This window comes from Homo sapiens, chromosome 2, assembly GCF_000001405.40.
Source record: "Homo sapiens chromosome 2, GRCh38.p14 Primary Assembly".
NCBI classification, from domain to species: domain Eukaryota; kingdom Metazoa; phylum Chordata; class Mammalia; order Primates; family Hominidae; genus Homo; species Homo sapiens.
This window is the reverse complement of record NC_000002.12, coordinates 212,994,769-213,017,386: the sequence shown is the minus strand read 5'-3', so window position 1 is coordinate 213,017,386 and position 22,618 is coordinate 212,994,769. Positions and strand designations below refer to the sequence as shown.

The window sequence follows — 22,618 nt, the reverse complement described above, 5'->3', positions numbered from 1 at the left end:
TTTATGTCTCCATGAAATAGGCAAATAAAACTGTCTAGGAAGATGTTAAATATATAGATCTCAAGCTCTTGAGAGGGGTCTGAGTAGGAAACAAAGATGCAGGATCCATCATAATTTATGTAGTGGCCCAACGTAGTAGTTTTTAATAAGGCAATACGGATAAGTACAGAGTGAGACATCAAGAAGGCCAAGAACACACTAGCAGGAAAAAAATTTCATGAAGATGAGTAAGAGCAGAGTAGGAACATGGAAAGAGTGATTTCACAGAAGCCAAAGCAAGTGTCAGCACTGCCAAATGCTGTCAAGAAAATAACTAAGATAACTGTAAAGTTTTTTTTTTAGATCGGGTAACACGGAGAAAATTTGCAACAATATAGAAGACATCTGTTGTTTTTGCCTGCCTGACATCCCTTCCTCCTTCTCTTGATAACAAGAGTGCCCATTTACCTTTAGAGAACTTTCCTGTTGCATGTAGCTGTGGTGGGACCCTCAGTCCAGGTACTCTGCCCTCTCCTGCTCAGGAGCTAGACATGTGATCTAACCTAGGTCCCTCAGACTTGGAATTTGAATTTGGGTGAACTGTTTGGTTTTTCAAAAGAATACATTGGGAATACACTTATGGTTTTGCCGTTATGGTTATCAACGTGATGAAACAGTGATCTAATGGAATTATGTTTTTATCTTGGTTATAACCTCAAATATAAGGTCAAAGAGGATGTTTGGTTATAAAGTTTGTTCAAACAGGGGAAGTTACCTTATTGGTATATCTTTAGCCCAGATTAATGTCTATGTGATTAATGCATTATTGAGATATCTAGAGAATTTGTTTTATGTTTCTAGCAATGTATACACAGAAATATTTTGATGAGTTGCACCCAGATCCATGAAGCAAAACAAAATCAGATTGGTTACATAATTAAGGAAAAATGTATCAGGTCTTTACCCAATGGCAGACCTTACAAATATGTCTGACTGGTTTACAAAAAGTCAATGCTCAAAATACCTCTACAAAGAGTAGTATAGCGTAATGGTTGAGCCAGGCTCTGGAGCCAGACTCCTAGTAGTAATAACATTCTCTACTAACTAGATGTAAACCCTGAGGAAATTACTTAACATCTCTGGGTCTTTCTGTTCTCATCTGTACAGTGAAGATGGTATTACACCTATTTCATGGAGTTTCTGGATGAATTAAATTAATTATTAAATGCAAAGCCTTAAAACAGCACACAGCACATAGTATACGTCAGTTATTATTATTGCCGATGTGGTAGAAACAAGATCAATTTTTGACATGAAAAGGGCTATTGTAAAGTAGAAATTAGATCAGAACTCTGCCAAAATCATCATTTTCAGTTCACATGAGCTTCATTGAACTCGGGACAAATCATCTGAATTGAGGTGGATGTGGTGTGGGACAGTTCCCACACCCAGGTTTCGTTTTGAGTGTTAAATGCGTTCAAATATGAAAATTCAGGGTGAAACTTAGAGCAAAACTGCCAGGTTTTGGACTACTCATTTCAGAACAAATTAGCATATTTAATTTTGGGGGCAAACCCGTTAACCAGTTTTGCTAGTTTTTTAGCAAAATTTACAACAACATTTTTTTTTTCTTGCCAAATTCTTTCATTTTGGATCTTGGTCTGACATATTTTCATCTTTGGTCCATACTTGGACTGCTTTTTAGTTTTATTGTTATTTCTAATAATGTAGTAAGTGCTTGTAAATCCATCATCCAAACAAAAAGTTAAGATTTTGACCACAATTTGTATCTCATTACCTGGTTCTCCACCACACCACCACCACTGTGCCATTCTTCTGACTCCCCTTACGTGAATTGGTCATCCTTGAATGTTTTTGAAATTCTTTGCTTTTTTGTTGACTCTTTTACTTTTGTGTCACTTTTTTAGTTGTTACTAAAAGAGAATATAATGTTTTATACATAATATCTTGGGACATACTTTTTCAATGTGATAACATCATTAATGATATAGTGCAGACAATGATCTGTTTCCTTGTTCCTCAGTCTCACCTTGAAACTTTTTTCCAAATTAACATCTAATAATTGCACAATCCCTTGCTATTCATAGCCAGAGGACTTCTTATTAAATGTAGATTACAATTCAATTTTTTTGACCCATCTATAGGTTAATCAAAACTTGGATGGAATGTTGATTTCTTTAAACATGTCCAAATCATGAAAACATTTTTTCACACTATGTTTCATTTTCTTCAAAATTGGTAACCTATTGGTTATTAAATACATCAACTGAATTGTGCACTGAATTTTCCTACCTTTCATCTCTTGCTTTCTCACTTATTTTTGTGTCTGCCAAGAGGATCCCCTTATAAATGAGACTACATTTTTTTGTACACAGTGGGACTATCTTATACAAATGAAAGGATCAGAGTAAATCATTTTTACAGGGCATACTGAACAAGTAAAGTTATTCTAAGAAATGAAAGCTTTAGGTTTCCAAACAGTACTGGCACAAGTGCAACTGGAGAAAGCAACAATAAACAACAAGTAATAAGTTATGTTCTTTCCTGAGAACACTGTTTTTAATCAACTGATTCGCCTTGTCTGAGTTGTTACCCTATCCTTAATTAAACATCCTTGGGCAGTATTTCTACTCAAAAAACAACTGTTTTAAGTTCTTTGTCTGCACTATGAATGTCAGTGTCTAAGGGCTAACAGATTAGTCCATAGCAACTTAGAAAAAAGGGATGAATAGGGAACAGCATTGGAGAGTATATGTCAAATGAATTAGGGCAGTAGTTTAGTGAGCCAATGTGCCAATTTAGAAATGGATTCTTCTTCCTGCTGAAGAGCTCTTTTTAAAATAAATTACAATCATAAAGCTGCCACAGTTTACTGTGCATAGACATGTTCAGAATTGGCTCTTCTTCATGAGGGCTGCTTGGTGCAGGTATTTAAGCTACTGCCAATAAGGCTAACAGCTCATCAAATAGAAAATACGCTGCAGGAAAATACATGGGTTAAGAAAAACAGTTAAATACCGTGCTGTTATTTTGTATGTCTGTTTAAGCTTTTCTCTCAAACAAGTTGACTTACTTAAATTGTTTTTTAAAAATAAACTCTAAAAGCCTTGAAAATAGTGCAGTCTTAAAAGTAGTATTGATTTTAGTCAATGCTAAAAACACTTTCAGGGGAATAAGATGAGAAACCACATGAACAAGTTTGCCACCAATAGTGGCAACAGTGTATGTATGTCATGGATTTAAGAGAGACTCAAATAAAAACAAATCCTCTGGTGTATATGTGTGTGTGCAAATTTAAAGAGTATACTTTCACACTAGAGGGTATTCTTTCTACTTGCTTCTACTGAAGCATACTAGCTTTTATAACACATATCGAGATGGCATATCCAGCTTTGTATCATCCAAAATGTTGAAGAAATTATCAGATTGCATTTTTCTATGGTTTTGTATAGTACCTCCTATGGAAGATTGTAAGGAACAAGAGCCTATTATGGACAACAATATTTCTCTGGTGCCTTTTGAGAGACCTGCTGTCATAGAGAAGCTCACGGGGAATATGGGAAAACGTAAAAGCTCCACTCCACAAAAGTTTGTGGGTAAGCATTACAAATGCTTTTGTTTCTTTGCAAGGTGATGTTAATAGGAAAAGGCAAGTTCCCATGTATTAGAAATATATATGGTGTGTTTCAGTTCATGAAATAAATACCCATCTCTTTTCTTCATTATTCTTTTTTACTCTCTGACATTCTGTGTACACCACACTTACACCAACACACACAAATACATATGAGAGATAAAGACTGATAGTGGTCACCATCTCAAAATATGATGATATATAAAGTGAAATAACATGTAAAATAGAAAATATTAATTTCTTTAAAAAATAGTCATACAGAAGAGAAACGGTCCAGCCTATTGGCCAGTTTTGTAATCTGTTTTAAAATTTTCATTAGTGTCAGGTTTTTAGCTGTTTTTTTTTTAACCTATTAACATTTATGCCTAGTGTCCCATTATTGGAACGCTAAGCATGTGGGAGTTATTTATATCCTACTGCTCAAGGTCATCGCCAAGGTCTGATTGCAAAAATTAAAACAAAATTTCAACCTCAGGCATAAATGGGTTAATTATTTTCGTATTTTATCTGGAATGAAGATAATTTTTCTTTTTTTCAAAATTCTGCATTGGAAAAATAATGCAGCAACCTACATTCAAGATGTTTCATATTTGGATCTTTATTTCATATTTTAATCTTTGTTTTTTCATCCAGCCTATGATTTTGAACTGAAAAGATTAAATATCATATATTTAGACTTTCCCTTTTCATTTCCGAACCCTTAGATATTCTTTGATACGCCCAATGTTGGCATCATTCTGGATGCATGCTGTAAGTCATAGATTGTCTCTGAGGATACAAAAAGCATGGACTTTTTAAAAGAAATATGAATAATAGAGATTCAATAAAAAGAATTGTTAAAGAATTGTTATTCATTGTATATATATCTATTAGGATAAAAATATTCAAACAGATTCTGACATTCTAGTGTCAGCATTGTGGGACATCCTGATTAAATGGTGATTGAGACAAAAATCTTTGCTTTGGTTATTTCAGGGAGGAGAGGATAACACAATTCCATTACTTCAATAAACACTTAAAGAAGGTTTCCTTTCAATCTGAAATTGAAGAACTAACACATCACCAAAATAGCACTCTAAGACTAGCTGGAGGGATTTATTGAGAACTCATTGAAAGAAGGCCTAAGGGTGACTATAAGGGCCATAGTTTATATTATGTCAGTTGAAGCCCCTGAGTTATACACAAAGGACTGCCTCAGGCCTTTGGTAACTTTTTTTCTGTTCTTGTGGGTAACTATGAAAAAAAAGAAATAAAGAGCCAGTTTACTTATTTTTAATATTGATTTTTTTGTTGGATGTCATTAAATGCTTAAATCTAACTAGACTCTAATGTAGTTGGAAAAAATAAAATATATTATTATTCTTTCTGTCTTCTGAATTTATATAGTCTACTCTTTGTAACGTTTTTTGTCATGTTTCCTGACTTAGAGATGTTACTCTCAATTTTATTTCACTGCATTCCTTAGAAAAGAGGGACAGCTTTTTAGAAAATTACATTATGATTCTAAAATATTTATATTATATTTTTAATTAAGAATTTGAGAGAATATTTTTCTTTATTTGGATTCTATCCTAGTAATATATAACAAACAGTAGCCATAGTAACTACTTCTGTTATTGTTCTTGAAACAAAAAATTTCATCATTCCACACTTATTATAAATTGCCTTCTCCATGTGCCTCAGTTAAATACTATTCTTTGACCTTATCAAATTCTCCAGACCAATGATCCCTGAACTTCCTGCATATCTACTTGTCTCTCCCTCTCTTTTCTTATTCAGCTTAGATTCCATGGCTCATCACTTCTACATCTCTCTTGCCAATATTCTTGCCTTTCTTGCCTTGTTGGCTGATCTATCATCCCCTTCTCCTGATGAAACCCTACTGTCTTGTAAAGCTGACTGAGCATCCTTTCCATACTTATATCTCACTAGATGTGCACCCCAGCCTGCACATCTGGTACTTTTGGAGAAAATTCCACAGGCTGATGAGTTGGCATCAATATATATGAATGAATAACTGATCCCAAATATCAGCTGGCCTATCCATCCTATGGAGCAGCATCCCTGAAGAATCATCTCTCCTGCTCTCCACCATGACAGTGCCAACCTTCTGTACTCTCTGCAAACATGCTGTCTCACTCCTTGGTGATCTTATATCTATATTCACAGGGGATAAAATCGCTGGAACTGATTTCAACATAATATTACCAATTCTATAGGATTGTATGCATCCATGTAAATGCTTTTATCTTTTTTCCTTATTTCAATGAAACAACTATCCCTCTTTCTAATTAAAGTTCATTCCCCCTCTTGTGCACAGGAATTCTCCTATCCTGGCCCCCCAGATACCTCACGCTATTATTTTTTCCTCTTTCTCACTTACATTTTTAACCTCTCCCCTCTATTGGGCATTTCCTATCAGCATTTAATGCAATAAATTCTCATAATTAAAAAAAATCTTCCTTTAAGCCCCATCTCCTTCCAGGTACACCTGTAGTCTCCTTTTCTTCAAAGATGAAATTGTTGAAAGAATCTCTGTGCTTGTTTTCAATGATTTTTTTTTTCTATTCATTTCCAAGTCCATGCAACCTGTTTTTCTTTCCCACACTCCATTAAAATTATTCTCACTGAGGTCACAACTAGCTTCTGTAGTGCCAAATCGAGTAGACTCTTTTAAGACAGTATCTTACACAGCTCCTAGAGAGTATCTGCCACTATTGAATAGTCAATTCCTTTGGAAACACACTCTTTTCTTGGTTTTTATGACATTGTTCTCTCTCTCTGACTGTGTTCAGTATTCTTTCAGACTTATCCTTAACAGCTATGCAAGTTGGCCAAAGTACAAATGGAGGCCCCCATTCATATGCCTAAATATTTTTATATTATAAATCTAACTGTAAAACTTATTTTCTACCCTTCCAACTTGACTAAGTTCAAATAAATATGCAATTCTCAGATTTCCTGTAGCTCTACACTACACCTTGGCAGCACGAGCAGAACCACCCACTGGCTTACAGCTAGGCTCCTCTCTTAGACCCACTCCTAGTTCTCTCCATTACCAAAGGGGGTCTCACACACACATGTATGGACACCCCAGCCTGCATATCCAGGTTCTTTTTACATTGCACATAAAGACCAGTGCCTTGGCCATCAGGCCTAGGTGTGTGCTTACCAGTAGCACAGTTGGTATGAAGTATTATGGACCCTATGAAGAGGACTGTGTAGTCCCTAGAAGCAGGCTCAGAACCATTTGGGCAAGGAATTCTGGGGTCTGAGTGAGCTTCAGATCAGCACATTCCCTTGGCCCTAGAAGCTCCTCATTTCCTGAGAAGAAAGGCCCAGGGCTCCCTAAACATGGGGCCCAGTGCAAACCCCACTTTCCCTGATCTATGAGTAGGCAGACAAATCTTAGTGTTATTCCAGGTTCTATTTTTGACCCATCCCCTTCACACTCTACCTGGGTGATATCAGTTATTTCCTTGGCTTCAGAAGTTGCTTTCTATCAACTGATGACTCATTTCTACATCTCAAGCCCAGGTCTCTCTTCTGAATTTGAGACTAAACTTACTGGACATTATTATTACTCATAGTCCTCCCAAACTGAATTCATCATCTTTTCTATCTCATTGTCATCTACTAAATTTCCTAGGCCAGAAACCTAGAGCAGCAATTTCCTAAACCCCTTTGCTAAATGAATACCTTCAGGGCACTTCCTTGTTTATCCCCTTCAATCTGTATTCCTTTAGGGAAATATTCAAATTTTTAGCATATTTAGCCTTATATTATCTAACTTGTCTTTCGCACTTGTTTCTACTCTCAGCCTTATTGAAGTATAAGTAATTCCTCCTTTATAAGTGATGCCCTCTTGCCTCTGATCCTTTCTACCAGCTACTCCACCTCATGTTTCTTCACTTGGCTATGTTTACAATCACATTATTGTCCTTGATTCCATTTCCTTCAAGAAGTGTTCCTTTAGTCCCCTGGTATGAGCTAAATATTCCTCTTATTTGACCCCATCACACATACCACACTATGTTGTAAATGATCCTTAAATTGCTATTGTTCCTTCCAAACTGTAAGTTCTTTAAGAATATAGATCAGGTTTGTCTAGCTTAATTTGGAAATGTTTGACATTGCATATATCTTAAGTTGAGTGCCATGAAATAATTTCTCCTCGTTTTGTGTTTCCATTTTTGTTACTCTAATCATTACACTGATCTCACGTAGGGGCCATTTCTTCCAATCTGAGAGTATCTGCCAAAATTACAAGTTAAGCATCCATCCACAACAACATATTAACCATTTATGGGAAACCCACATATGTTTTTAAGAAGCATTTATCTGTAAGATTTACCTATGAAAGTAACTGGTAAATAGAGACCACATTGTCTTAGGGACAGAATTTGTAAAAGACTAAATATTCTGTTCAAAACCAGCAATATCTGGCTAAAAATCAAAACTACTTTTCCCGTTGCAAGCACCAAAACTCTTTTATAGTTAACAGTCAGACATTATGTTGATGTAAAATATTGGAGTAAAATTATATTTGTTGAGGTGTATATTTAAGGAAAAACTGCAAACATGCTTCAATCAAGAAAAAGTATGGGAAGCTAGCAATGGGTGTACGTACCAGCACTATCACATACACATGTCTAAATAAGAAAGGATGATATAAAAATGAATATTAATTTCAAGAAGCAAAACAATGAGACAAGATTTTCCGAGTTTATGAGCAAATACTTTTTGAAATAACTCTTAATTTTATTTTTAAATAACCCTACATTTCATTCATTTTTATTAGGTGGTACTACTTTTAAAAGTATTTTAATAATGACTTTTAAAAAATCTCCAGAATGACATATATGGGTTATATATATTTTTTCTGAAATAGTGGCCGAATCAACCAACTTAACCCTACACAACAGTGAGGTGCCATATGTTATAACCAGATCACTCTCACTTTTATGATCTTTGTAGCTTGGTCACTAATGTTTAAAATATGCAAAATCAAGCATAGTCTCTGACTTGTTTTTACTGGGTATTCTTCCTCCTATTCTCCTTGAGCTCTATTCAAGTGAGAATTTTAAAAGAAAATGAAAATATGATAAACTCAATCATATCTTTCAGACTAGATGCATTCTCATGATGGCATCAGAACAAATGCAAATGGCTTACAAAATTTTTATTGCTTTTATATTTTTTTCATGTCAAGAATATTTGTGGCCAGACCCAGTGTCTCATGCCTGTAATCGTAACACTTTGGGAGGCCAAGGTGGGTGGATCACTTGAGGCCAGGAGTTCTAGACCAGCCTGGCTAACAGGGCAAAACCCTATCTCTACTAAAAATACAAAAATTAGCCAGGTATGGGGGCGCATGCCTGTAATTCCAGCTACTCAGGTGGCTGAGGCATGAGAATCCCTTGAACTGGAGAGGTGGAGGTTGCAGTGAGCAGAGATCACACCCTGAGACTCTGTCTCAAAAAAAAAAAAAATGTGTGTGAGCATCAGCAGAATTGCCCAAATACTTGACTTATAGAGTAATATATACCAAATTATGAAAAATGGAGGCAATCAGTCAACTTCGTACCCTTTCATATTTTTAATCTGATACTAATGTTGTTGTATTTTTTTTTTTTTTTTACTTCTTTCACCTCCCACTCCCTTCCAGGGGAAAAGCTCATGCGATTCAGCTACCCAGATATTCACTTTGATATGAACTTAACATATGAGAAGGAGGCTGAGCTGATGCAGTCTCATATGATGGACCAAGCCATCAACAATGCAATCACCTACCTTGGAGCTGAGGCCCTTCACCCTCTGATGCAGCACCCGCCAAGCACAATCGCTGAAGTGGCCCCAGTTATAAGCTCAGCTTATTCTCAGGTCTATCATCCAAATAGGATAGAAAGACCCATTAGCAGGGAAACTGCTGATAGTCATGAAAACAACATGGATGGCCCCATCTCTCTCATCAGACCAAAGAGTCGACCCCAGGAAAGAGAGGCCTCTCCCAGCAATAGCTGCCTGGATTCCACTGACTCAGAAAGCAGCCATGATGACCACCAGTCCTACCAAGGACACCCTGCCTTAAATCCCAAGAGGAAACAAAGCCCAGCTTACATGAAGGAGGATGTCAAAGCTTTGGATACTACCAAGGCTCCTAAGGGCTCTCTGAAGGACATCTACAAGGTCTTCAATGGAGAAGGAGAACAGATTAGGGCCTTCAAGTGTGAGCACTGCCGAGTCCTTTTCCTAGACCATGTCATGTACACCATTCACATGGGTTGCCATGGCTACCGGGACCCACTGGAATGCAACATCTGTGGCTACAGAAGCCAGGACCGTTATGAGTTTTCATCACACATTGTTCGAGGGGAGCACACATTCCACTAGGCCTTTTCATTCCAAAGGGGACCCCTATGAAGTAAAGAACTGCACATGAAGAAATACTGCACTTACAATCCCACCTTTCCTCAAATGTTGACATACCTTTTATTTTTTTTAATATTATTACTGTTGATAATTCTTATTTTGTGGAGGCAGTGTCATTTGCTCTGCCTAATTACGATAAGGAAGAAACAGAAGAGAGAAGGGGCGGGAATATTGTTTCTTTATCACCTGGCTTGTTTATTTTGTGGGAATTTAAGAGCAGTCCATTTCTACCAAGGCATATCATGCTTTGAAAAATCACTTGATTCATAAAGATTCACCTAAGAGATTCTGATTTGCCACTGATATTCAGAATTATGATGGAAGACAGGAAAGTTCAGAGTTTTCTGGGTAGGACTTTGGTGGTTTAAAAATGGTATAAGTAACTTTATTCTTGAAAGAAGAATGTGTTTCAAACTGTAAACCAATTTTTTGTTCTTCAGAGATCATGGAACACAAACACATTGTTATTTTCAGTGATAACTCCTAAGAGGAGCTGAGTTGTTGTGGGTTCTATGTTTACTTCCCCTATGGAATTTATAATTCAGTATGTTTTACACTGTACCATATAGCAAAACTTTTAAACTACAGGTAGTTAAGGGCCACCTACAATACATCTGAGGTCCTGTGATCTTATTTTTCTAAACGTAAGCACTGTTTTTCCATAGTTTTGATGACTGGCATTTTATAGACACCCTGGCAGCCTTACTTTTAACACCTTTAAGGAATAGTATTTTTATGTAGTTTTCAGAATAACATATGGTCTAAGAGTGGATAAAAGGCAGTCAATAATTTCTGGGAGGGACTTCTACTTTCATAAATTTGTTTGAGAGGTTTTCTTTTAAAGTTGTAATGTGATGGCAGCATAGTATATGTATTTGTTTCTAAAAGTATGCTTACGATTGTCACTTTATCAGCATTTAATCAGTGTTAACCAGTCAGCAGAAAAATATAATTATGCTAACAGTAGGGGGAGAAAACCCACTTAGAAATCCCTTTTCTGGTATTTCTCTTTTCACTAGTTTTTTTCAAGATGTGACCTCCCGGTGTTCTGTCCATAGTTCATTCATCCTTTACTCTTCGAGTAGAAGGTCTTAAAAGTCTTCCTGTCGGCTGTTTCTTTCAAAATCTCCTCAGAGCAATTGCTAATTTGGCCTGAATCTGGTAACTTGAACCCTGTAAGGTTACAGAACTAGGGCTATTTATTTTAGCATTTCTTCAGTAGTATTTACTACTCTTGTTGCAAAGAAAAGGGAATGGGACTTCTTTGTAACCTGTACCTTGGACAACAGATAAAAGAAACAAAAAAATAAGAAAGTTTACTTTTACCCTTCTTGGAGTCTAGAATGTGACAGAACCCCCAAAGGAAAGTCCTGCACATTTTTCTGTTTCCAAAACATTTAATTGTGTAAGTCCTTGTCAGAAATGAATCTCAATCCCTTAGTATAGAATTCCCCTTACATGGTATAGGTTGCCATATTTCATGTGCAGATTTTAATTTCATTTATGTGGGCGCTCTGTTTTTTCTTTGCAGTCCAGCCACATTAGAGGGGAGGAACCGAGTGATATTGATTCAAGTCATTTTAGGGGGACATACTTGGAAGGCAGAACTTGCTGCTTCTGTTTGGGGAGGACAGACCTGACTGTGACTGGATTATCTGATAACCATTTGTGAATACTGAAATTCTGTTAGGCAGTAACTGATAACTGCTCTAAAGGATCATTAAATAGGATGCTGAAATTATGTATCTTAATACAGTGTGGTATGAGAATTACCAAGTCAAGAGAATTGTGGACATAAGCAAGTTTGGCCCCAATACTGCTCTTAACTCATTTTCCAGCTTACTATTTGCTATTTAAATGGTAGGCACCAGCTAAGCACTTCTAAGCACTAACACAGCTAGAACTAGGCAAAAATGGTTAGAACTCAGCTCTCTTCTACTAGTCCCTGTCATAATTATTTTTGGGAAAATGTCCAAACTGCCCCCTTTAAATCTAAGGGAATGCACCAAAACAGAGATATATAGAATGTCAACCATTTCATTTTTTTTTTTCTGCATGCCTTGGTACATAGTGAACATACAACCTATTTAAAGATAAAGCATGTTTTTGAGACTCGCTCACCCCCCCCCACCCAACCACTCCCAAATAATAATTGGGATGCCATTTTTTTTCCTTTTGGATGAGGTAAATAATTTTAAGGTTCACAATTTTGTCTTTTACTGCAATTTAAGGAAACATTTGGATGTCAGTCAATATGTTCATAATTTTGGCTGTGTGCGAATTTCTGCTGGCATTATCTATGAATTTTCTTCCTACTTATTTTTTTTTCAGTATATGAACAATCATGTATCTACCTGCCCCAGGATGAAACTAAATTTAGGTGGACCCTAAACCTTATGAAGACAGTGCTGAGGCACTTTCCTTTTCTGATTTCATCTTTTTGGGAATCTGTTTTATTGAAGGTAGTTAGTAGTTGAGAGTGCATTTGCTACAAGCATATACTTGTATCTTCCTAGCTTCATGAGGAACAGAAAGAGGTGGATATGGCTCAGGGTGTGGCAGGGACAATTGAGGACAAAGTCAATTCAAATTTGTGGGTCAGAAAGAATTTTTGTGGACGTAGTGTTTTTGGAGAAACTCTGGATGGTTATATGTGCATGCCTTTTCTTCAAAAGGAAATACGCAAGGTTGTAGCATCTAAAAATAAACATAAGAGTCAGACACCAAATAAATCAAGTTTTACATAACAGTTGTATGCCCAGTTTGTTTAGGTGAGATTTCACATTACAGAAAGTATTTGAGGAGCATGAAAATGGGTTATCTTCTGTATTTTCCAGTTTGGCAAAAGTTCAGAATTTCATCACATTGCTTTGCCCTAATTTTGCCCAGAATTTTATCTTAGCCTCTCTCTGACAGTGATGAATCATGCTCAAAAGCCATTCTAATTGGACCTTTTTAAGACAGGGAAAGGGATCAGTAGGCGGATTGGAAGAAATTTCAAGTCATTGAAATATTCCATTGAGATTTCCTAAAGGGACAAAATTGGGAAAATAAGAAACTACGACTTAGATTTGGCTACGTAGTAGAAAGTATCTCCCCTACATACATACAGGCAATTGTATGTATGAATCATAGGGTATATGTGTGTGTATACTACACACACATTCTTTTAAAGAGAATTCATGGAAAAAAAAGCAGTTGGAGTGATCAGATGTATTGCAAAAACATACAGAGAATTTAAATGACAGTTAATACCAAGAAATTAGTTGGGTTTACTTTATCAGGTCGTAATAGGAATCACTAAAGAAGTTACTAGTGTGTCTTTAGGACCAGTGGCAACTCTTAAACTAAAACTTTGGGTCCTTATTATCTACTTACAGAACAAAGTGAAACAAACAATGATTAAGCTGATTGGATATACATTCAAAGATATTTAATGTAAAGTTTTTTGGAATACGAAGAAAATTCAGAAAATAAATATTATCAACAGTTACTTATTGGCAAATAGAGAAAGACAAGAATAGTTTAGTGAGCCCGGTATTTTGTTTTTATAGTTTTTATCTCAGTTGTACAACTCACAAAACCATGAAGTCTTTGGTATTTTATAAATGTTTAACAAAATTTACATCAGATTAAGGCATTTAGATGAAAATTATTATGTTCTCACTATCTTCCAAATTTTATTTCATCCTATCTCCAAAATGATTTCTTAGGGTACAAAAAGAGCAGACGGGGCTGTAAAAATACAAGCAAAAAACTGTGTGCCCCTAGTTTCAGGCAGAACTTAAACTGTCAGAGGTACTAGCTACATGATTTGTTTTTTAACTTTGGATTGTTCACGTCCAAAAATGGATAAATTACATTTGTGTTTATCATCAGTTGCATTTTATGTATTATTTTAATAAATACTATCTGAATGAAGACTATTCTAAACCAGAAAATTCCCCAAATCCAAAAGAAAAAAAAAGTGGGAAGAGGTGAAATTGAAGTTTGTGTATATGAAAGTTATCTTAGACATATTTTTAATTCTCCAGTTTCTGCAAAATAATTAAAATATACAGTAACTGGTCTCCTAAATCCTGAATTTAATGTATTAAATACTTATGTTCTTTATATTGGTGCCTTTTTAAAATGCATTGAGAGTGTTGGTTAGCTGTTGCAGCTGTACAACACTTTTAATATGCATTTTTAAAAATCACTTAAAATTGAGTACTATATAATTCATCTCTGCATTTTTAGTGCAAATCTTTAGAGCAATTTCTAATAGAGAAATTTTCAGCTCAGCTGTTAAAAGGAAAAGGAAACTTTGAAACTAGACTTTACTACCTTTTTAGTTTCATAGTATTTCTGAATATGATTACAAGATTATGCAGGTAAAATATAGAGTGAAACTTTACCTGTGAATTGAATTATAATTTGTGTTTTTGTTTTGTTTTTAAGGAAGAATAAGTTCTGTATCAAACAAGAATTTATTAGATAATTTTTTGGTCAATAAAATACAGTATTCATTTGGATTTTCATCTCCAGACTAGTATTGTTCTAGTCTTGGAATCTGTATTTTCTAATCTGTTAGAAAATAGAGATTGAAAATTGATGGAATAATGTGAAAAAGCAGGTAATTAATTCTCCTTGAACAAAGCAAAACTGAACAGTCATATCACATTGCTATTCTCCAAAGCATAATCTCAAATGGTTTCATATCATGGTTGTGTATTACTTGCAATGGGTGTGTTAGGATATGACAGCTTTTTAAAAAAATGAGCTGCTGGTTATACAAAGCAAATGGCATATGACCAAGAAGCTGTGATATGCTAGTGTTTCTTTTTATCATAGTGTATTACTAGGCCAAATAATGACACCTTGAATATTTTTACATTTATTGCAGAAACCTTAAACTTTGGAATTTCCATAAGGTTTTTATGTAATATTCTATTTCTAGCTTTTTAGTTTTATCTTGCTGTACTGTAAGTTTGAGGATATTTTTCACCTGCACTCTTAGGAATAAGTTCATAATTCTGTTTATGGGGCTTTCCTCCCATAACACTGCATTTGTATATTTTCTGTATAAAATATGTGTTGTGTATTAACCTTTATCCCATACAGAGAGTGGTACATGAATGACTAGTTTTCTAAGATGTCCTTTTTATTGTGAATAAAATATAAAAGTTAAAGGCCCTCTGCTAAGTCACATAAAGTACAGCATATAAGTTCATATAGGTACAAATAAATGAGTTTGCAGTGAATTGGGCCTTCAAATTACCTCAAGTGACAGATAGTAAGAAAAGCTTCTTGAGCAGGTGGAGGTCACTGAATCCCCTACTATGCACTTACCAAGATTTTACTTACTTTAATTTACTGGAAATTGATTTTTTAAAAAATGACTACACTGTAACAAGGGAAGGGATCTGGGTTTTTTTGTTGTTTTATTCTTGTTTTTTTTAAGTAGTTCAAATTCTGAAACTGTGATTTAAAAATTTTTTACAGTCAAGCATTCTGATTTTGAACATAACTCCCTTCCCTTTCTGTGTAACAAAGGTCTCTCTGTTATCTCTTAAATTTTGTTACATCTCCCTCAGCCTCTTTCTTTGTCCGTCTCCCTTCTGTCATTGTCTATGGATGTTTACCTCTCTGTTCTCCTAAAAGTTTGAAGATTAGGTCAACTCTTATTTCTAGTTCATTGGTAATTTAATCTTAATTTTTTTTTCGTGATTTTTGTTGGTTGTATAATCTGCTGACGTATTTTTATACTCAAGTGTAGTTTTCTATTAAAAAGAAAAGTGGTTGGATTAAAAATAGTAAGCTATGTAACCCTCATGTTACTTTCACTTTCAAATATTGGGTACCTAAAACATTACTTCAGAGATTATGTAATCCTATTATAGTATGTTTGCTTTCCTTTATTGTTGGATTTTACATTCTGATTTGGCTTTCCTCCAAAAAATGTATATCATGAAAGACTAGACAGTTATTTGCAAGTGTTTAGAAAGGTGTTAAAAATGTAAAGCAAAGAGTCTTAACTTTCTCCTAATTGGGAGAAAAATGCTTTAACATTACTATAATAATATTCCAGGTTTGGAGGGGGTCTCCAGGCCCCATATTTGCTGTTAATAGTTGGACCTTTTAGACCATGTGTTATTTGCAATCCCAGAATGATTGCTTCTGCTATTAGTTAAAAAGATACTATTCTTTTCTTTCTGTACAAGTGCAATACTCCCCTTGAAGTCTTAAAAACTATGGTGATTTTTTTTTCTTTTCTGACCTATTCTTCCTTTAGCTAATGACAAAAAGAAACTCATAAAAGTCATAGTATGTTAAAGGACACAACAAGCAAAGAGAAAAACACTCCACAATCAAAAGATTACAGAATGTGGAAACCACTAGTCTGATCTCATGGTATCTTTATTTAAGCTAAATTTCCATGGAAATTAGTAATCTTTTGCTTGAAAAATGTGTCCTAAAGTTGAACTTTTTACAGATTGAATCTTCTTAGACCCTCGCCCAATGCTCTAAATTAAGAACCTAATACTTAATATTTTTATTTTACTTCTCCCCTTTTAGAAATAAACTTTTAAATAAAAGCAAAGCACTTAGCTGAGTTTTAAACACTTACATATCACCTATTGGAGAAATTTTTTTTAAAAATATTTGGAGCAGTCCTGTTTTCATACAAATTTAAGTAAGAGGTATTTTTCTTATACATATTTATATGTAGTGTGCTAATTTTCTTTTTTTATACCTGTGTCCCTGTAGTAAAACTGCTGTAATATAAATACATGTTTTGTTAAAAGATAACATTTCTTTGGCATTTCTTTTAAAGGCAGTTACTGCATTTCTGCATTTGTACAGTATGTGTCTTGGCCATTTTAGATATTCTTTCTTTAACAATACCAAAGGTAATTAGACTATTTTAAAGACTAATTGCTTGACAGTTTCTAGGGTATTTTGTGTTTTAGAAGCAAAAAAAGAAAAAAAAATAGGTCAAACCAGTAAACCTCATTTTTTTTCAAACTAATAATTTGGGGAAATAAAAACTATTGTTTAAAAAAGAAATATATATATATATATATAAATATATATGTAAAGTTAAAATTCCATACCTTGTATGTCAGGTTTGCTAAGTGTAATGTAGTTTTTTTAAGGCTCAAATACCATACCTCAGAAAATGAGGTTTACTATGGAAATACTGAAACAGTCTTTGCAGCTGTGTGACAAGTCACTCTACTACATACTGATTTGGAGACCTCCGCTAAATAGTTTTATCACTGCAGACTAAAATGTGGGACTTGTATCTTCTTTGTTTTTAATGCACACACATACATGTTCTGTGCATGTATGTGGTTACTGTGTATATGTGTATGAGTGTTGTATATGCATGTGTGAGTGTGTGTCTGTATGTGTGTACAACTAAAGAAGCTGCAGAAACTTTGTAATACTTTGTGAAAAGGATTATATTATAAAGGTTTGTACTGTCTGAGTGCACAGCTACTGGAATAAATTTAGGGAATCTCAGGAACAAGCATATAATTTGTCCAAGATTTATTTCTTCTCAGAAGTGTAAGTGCAGTTTTTAATTCTGTATATTATTTAATATTTTACCAATAAAATAAACTTCTGACATAAAAAGTTTGCTATAAAAACTTTCTGGTGAAAATTCTGTACACAAACATGTCTTCCAAATACAGAAGACTAAATTGTTGACTATACCAGGCTTAAATTATCATTGCCATTGTGTATTTGTCACACTTCCAGTTCCAGAGGTTTGGATACATGTGATATCTGCAATCTACATCTCAATCGTTAGTCATCTCCATCATTACTATATAGTCCACCAGAGCAGAAAACAAAGTATTACATGATTTGTTAAGAATGACATCTCTGCTCTTTAGACAGCTTTCATACATATCTTATTTCACTTTTAAAAAAGAGGAGTGTACATCAGAGCCTATCCCCTTTCTATATAAGAAAATAGACCTTAGGAAAGAAAATTGTGACTTACTCCAAAGAGCATAGTAGTGCACTTAAATTACACAAGAGGTCTGAGTGCTCTGATCTGGTCAATAACACTACTAGAATACACTACTGCTATAGAAACCAGTATTTCTTAGAAGTCAAAGATAAAATTAAGAAGTCATAGCGATTGTTCAATCACACTGGCAAAAACTGGTTGCCAGTTCTGCTTCATGTTGTACAATCACTACGTGAGTCATACACATCTCTTTGTTTCTTAGATTTTACAAATGTAATTTATCTTTTGCCATGAGAAGTTTGTTCTGTTATAAACATCTTCATAACCAGAAATGCAAAAGGGCATATATGACTGCAAATTCATTTTATTGAGTGTTAGCTAGCCACTATCCTTCAGGCCAGTTTGAACTCCACCATCACATTTGAGATAGCTGTTAGAGTTTTTCCTCACTGATATGTATTTATAGAATTTCATGGATACTTACCACATTCCCCAGTAATTTCACTTCCATGTGTCACACAGAATGAAAAATACCATAAATTCAAATGAAATTTTCCTGCCTTGACTGTATCATAATTCAAAATACTAACCTAATTTGGGCAGGGGAGGTTGTGAAGCAAGTGAAATAGCAAAGCAAAAAGAAGAAAAACTTACCAAATCATCCTCCAGTATTAAATTTATAAAGGATTCCTTCAAGATCAGCAAGGAATGTCAAATTCCCCTGGTGTATTATATCAACAGGAGCCAAATGAAAAGGATTTCTTGAAAAATGTGCCATATGCTCTTGACTTTTCAATTGCAATATGGTCAGAGAAATTATAAATAATTTAAATCTTGATATGATTGTAAGACTTTTTATCAGCATGCTCAAGCCAGAAGACTGTTCTTGGGGTGTGAACCACATGGTGAAAGCATTTCATCTAGCATTTTAGCAACCCTCCCTCCTGCTATTAGGGGGTTCCAAATGGACCCGTTAAACTTCCAGGAAAATCCCCTTTTTTGTTAACACCCCTACTGAAATTTCCTGGTGTGTTTATTTAACTTCTCACTAGAGGTTCCAGTGAAGGTAACAATTGGTGAATTTGAATTTTCCTACTTTTCTCCTGTTTGGCACAATACCCAAGGGAGAGGTTTCAATAAAATAGCCTAACTGGCAAATGGGAGAAATCGACAAAGAAGACAAACTTATTTGGACATCCATAATCCCGTATAAAAATGGGTAAAACCTGGGGGAGATCCTGGAAAATAAAGATGTGTTCAGTCTGATAAATATGAATGTGGTAGCCTTTTTCTTCTTGCTCTTATTGCTGCTTTATAATCCTAAACTGTCTTGTATCAGACCAAGTGCTTCTAACTTGAAATTTGTGAGGCAAAGGACAAATCCCTCAAAGCAGTGCAAATGGATACTGCCCATATTGGTGTTGAGTTGTTTGTTCTAGAAATCCTTAGAAGAGCTGTATGAAGCTGATCATCAAACCAAATGGAATGTCTGTGAAGAAGCAAGAGGAAGAACCAAAGGTAAAAAGGAAGTAACCTAAGGGTATTTGTGTTGGGTTTCATTGGGCCTTTGGTAAGCCTGTGGTAGAAGAGGGAGGAGTCACTGTGTTGTCATTTCACCTCACCAGACGGAATCAACTGTCTCCACCGGGATCAGAATCAACTGTCTCCACCGGGAGGGAGTACTTAGTGAAATCCCTTGATCAGGAAGTAGGAGAATTTGGCTAAGAGGGAATGGCAACAGAGTTCATTTTGTATCAATGCCCTGGGCCCACATATTGGTTCTGGTTTTGTGGACATAAAAGCTTAAAAGACTTTGATTAACATCTATCTGTTCTCCTTGACCCTGTCACAATTCTGATTACTCTAAATAAAACACAGCCTTTTTCAATGTGAGAAATTCGATGCAACCACAATATGTGAGTTTTAACCATACCCCTCTTTTTTACAAGTACTTTGCAAATGAGCACGATTGTTCCTGACTTTATCTAATTCACTCTCAAAACACTCATGGAAAATGTAGGGTGTCTGATACTTTATCTTCATTTTATTGGCAAGGAAACAGATTCAGGTTGGTTGTGATTTTGTTCATAAGCACCCCAATCAGTGAAAAAGCTAAAACTAGACTCTAATTCCACATATTCTTAGTTCAGTGTTTTAATTTCTAAACCAGTTTATTCACCATTTTATTGATAAACCCAATTAATAAGAGAATCAGCAGGCATACTTTAAAAGTAATGTTTTGCTTTTCTAATTTTTAAACAGAATTATCCCAAATGAACTCACTGGCACAGTCATTAAGACTGAGAAATACAGTATTAAGTAGCAAGGCAAAAATCATTTGAAATTAAAATATTGTTGCAGAAATTTTTTTAATGAATAAATTATCCTAGCTTGGTTCTTCTAAAGACCCCTTTGTGACCTAATTTAAATAAATGTGGGCTTTTGATTACTTACAAAATTTCCTTCAGAGTTGATCGAATTCTTTGCCGCTTTTTAAATCACTAGATCTATATCCCCATACTAATTTTCCTTAGTTCTTTCATTGCAGAATCTACTTTCTAATATTTATACTTTGTTTTTTGCCTCCTCTGCATTTGAAAACCTTCACCTGACTCATCATTAAATCTATGAATTTATCGGTACTGGAAGTTCTGTCAATGATATCCTAGTGTTTTCAGTGATATCATTGTCATTATGTCTTCCAAATTCAATGAGCAGCCTGGAGATTGTGCTTATTCTTCTTAGGTGCTAAAACCTATTACTAATTTATCTCTTTGATGTCAATTCTGTAGCATAGAGCAATATCAAGATTCACCTCAACCCCAACTCTGTTCTTGTGAAATGAGTGATATATTTATGGTAAAATCCAACCTTATGTTGTCTATCCTTAGGAATGAGACATGTACTACCATTTGGTCAAAGCCAAGACAAGTTTCCCCAGTCTTCAAGGGATGGTTGCTGTAGTGACACCTAGCACTATGTTCTCCTTCTCTTACTTCTCCAATGTAAGTAAATAACATTTTTTTGGCCTTCAAACAGTCTATTCTTTGTCTCCCCACTCCTCCTCACCCCACCCCTCTGCACAGCCCCTCCCCACCCCACCTCCCTTCGCTGTTTGTTTCTTTATTTGTATCAGATTGTAACATGCATATATGTTACTATCATTTGATGACACTCAAGGGGAAAAAAGAAACTGGGGCAGCAAATGACTCATGTTTTTCCAAGCTCTTAGCCAAATTACTTTTTAGTCATCCTAACAAATATGGGAGTTTGGCTATACCATAACACTAATACGTTTTCCAAGCTGCAAGTAGAAGCCCAGAGTCTGCTGCTTTCTTCTTTAATGTCTTGACAAGTCTGATTATAGCTAAGAAAGTGATCACTTGATCACATAACAAGCATGAGAAAAATTCTGCTACAGGCAAGGGTAAAGGAAAGAATTTATTCTTTATTTGCCTTGAAGAATTCAAGTAGCTTTCTTGGGTCTTTAAGATATGAAATGGGTCATGACCTAATTCTTCTGAAATACAGATGAGCTCTGTATTAGATCCCTTATGCTTTTTCTTGTTTTTACTTGAAATTCCAAAAATGAGTGCACAATAATATAGTCAATTCGAACTACAGTATGCTGACACATTGTCTGCTCTAATTAGAAAAAAAGTCTTTTTGACTCTTAAAAATTATGATTAAGCATCATATTGAGAGACTAGCCACCATATTCAATATGATATCTCTCAGCTTTAACTAAATGCCCATTTGTGTTAACATATTTTGAATGATTAATTTATCCTGGTTCATAGTTTCTAATCTATAGAAAACAAAATCTTAACACTAAAGAGCTTGATATGGTGTGGTGAGTTTGAGCTATATAAAAAAAGTACTAACATGTCCTTCCATCAGTGTAGATTATCTTAATGATGTGGGATTTTTTAATGAGCAATCTGTCATAAGTATGTTAGGATACTCTGTATGTTTGGGTTAATTATATTATACTCCTTTATCTGACTCTTAGAATATAAACATGGCATGTTCAGCCCAGTTCAAAAAAAAGAAGCACTTGAGAACTCCCAGAAATGAACAAGATAATGAAGGGTATGTATTTTCCTTTCTGTACTCACATGGTTCATATGAGTATCAGTAGGTCTTGCCAGCCACATTTCCAATGTGTGTATAACCCAAGTACAATTATTAGTCATCACATGGAAGTTTAGAAGTAGCTTTGGGCAATACTAGTGTCCCATGGTAATTAGGCACATCCAAGTATCATGTATTAGTAATGGCAACCTGTCAACCTGCCACTGGACAGCAAGTGTCACCTATAATAATACACCATCACAGGGTTAGGGAAAAAGTAGTATAATTTATTTACTTGCTATGTTTTTATTTATTTATTTATTTATTTATTTATTTATTTATTTATTTATTTATTTAGAGAGTCTTGCTCTGTCACCCAGGCTGGAGTGCAATGACACGATCTTGGCTCACTGCAACCTCCATCTCCCAGGTTGAAGTGATTCTCTTGCCTCAGCCTCCTGAGTAGCTGGGATTACAGGCTCCCGTCACCACACCCAGGTAACTTTTGTATT

At 35.0% G+C, this 22,618-nt stretch overlaps 1 protein-coding gene across 30 annotated transcripts in view; it reads left to right on the top strand.

The window, feature by feature from the left end:
- The window catches only part of IKZF2 (IKAROS family zinc finger 2), a 152,759-nt gene extending 135,070 nt beyond the window's left edge, over positions 1–17,689 (top strand). For 24 of the 30 annotated variants that reach the window (NM_001371274.1, XM_011510812.4, XM_047443723.1 and 21 more), the window contains 2 exons: positions 3,453–3,596; positions 9,303–17,689. In NM_001371274.1, coding sequence (NP_001358203.1) covers positions 3,453–3,596; positions 9,303–10,027 — 869 coding nt within the window. In that variant the 3' untranslated portion in view covers positions 10,028–17,689. The remainder of the gene's footprint in view (positions 1–3,452; positions 3,597–9,302) is intronic. The other 6 variants (NM_001371277.1, XM_047443727.1, XM_047443725.1 and 3 more) reach the window with 1 other exon arrangement.
- Positions 17,690–22,618: the final 4,929 nt, after the last annotated feature.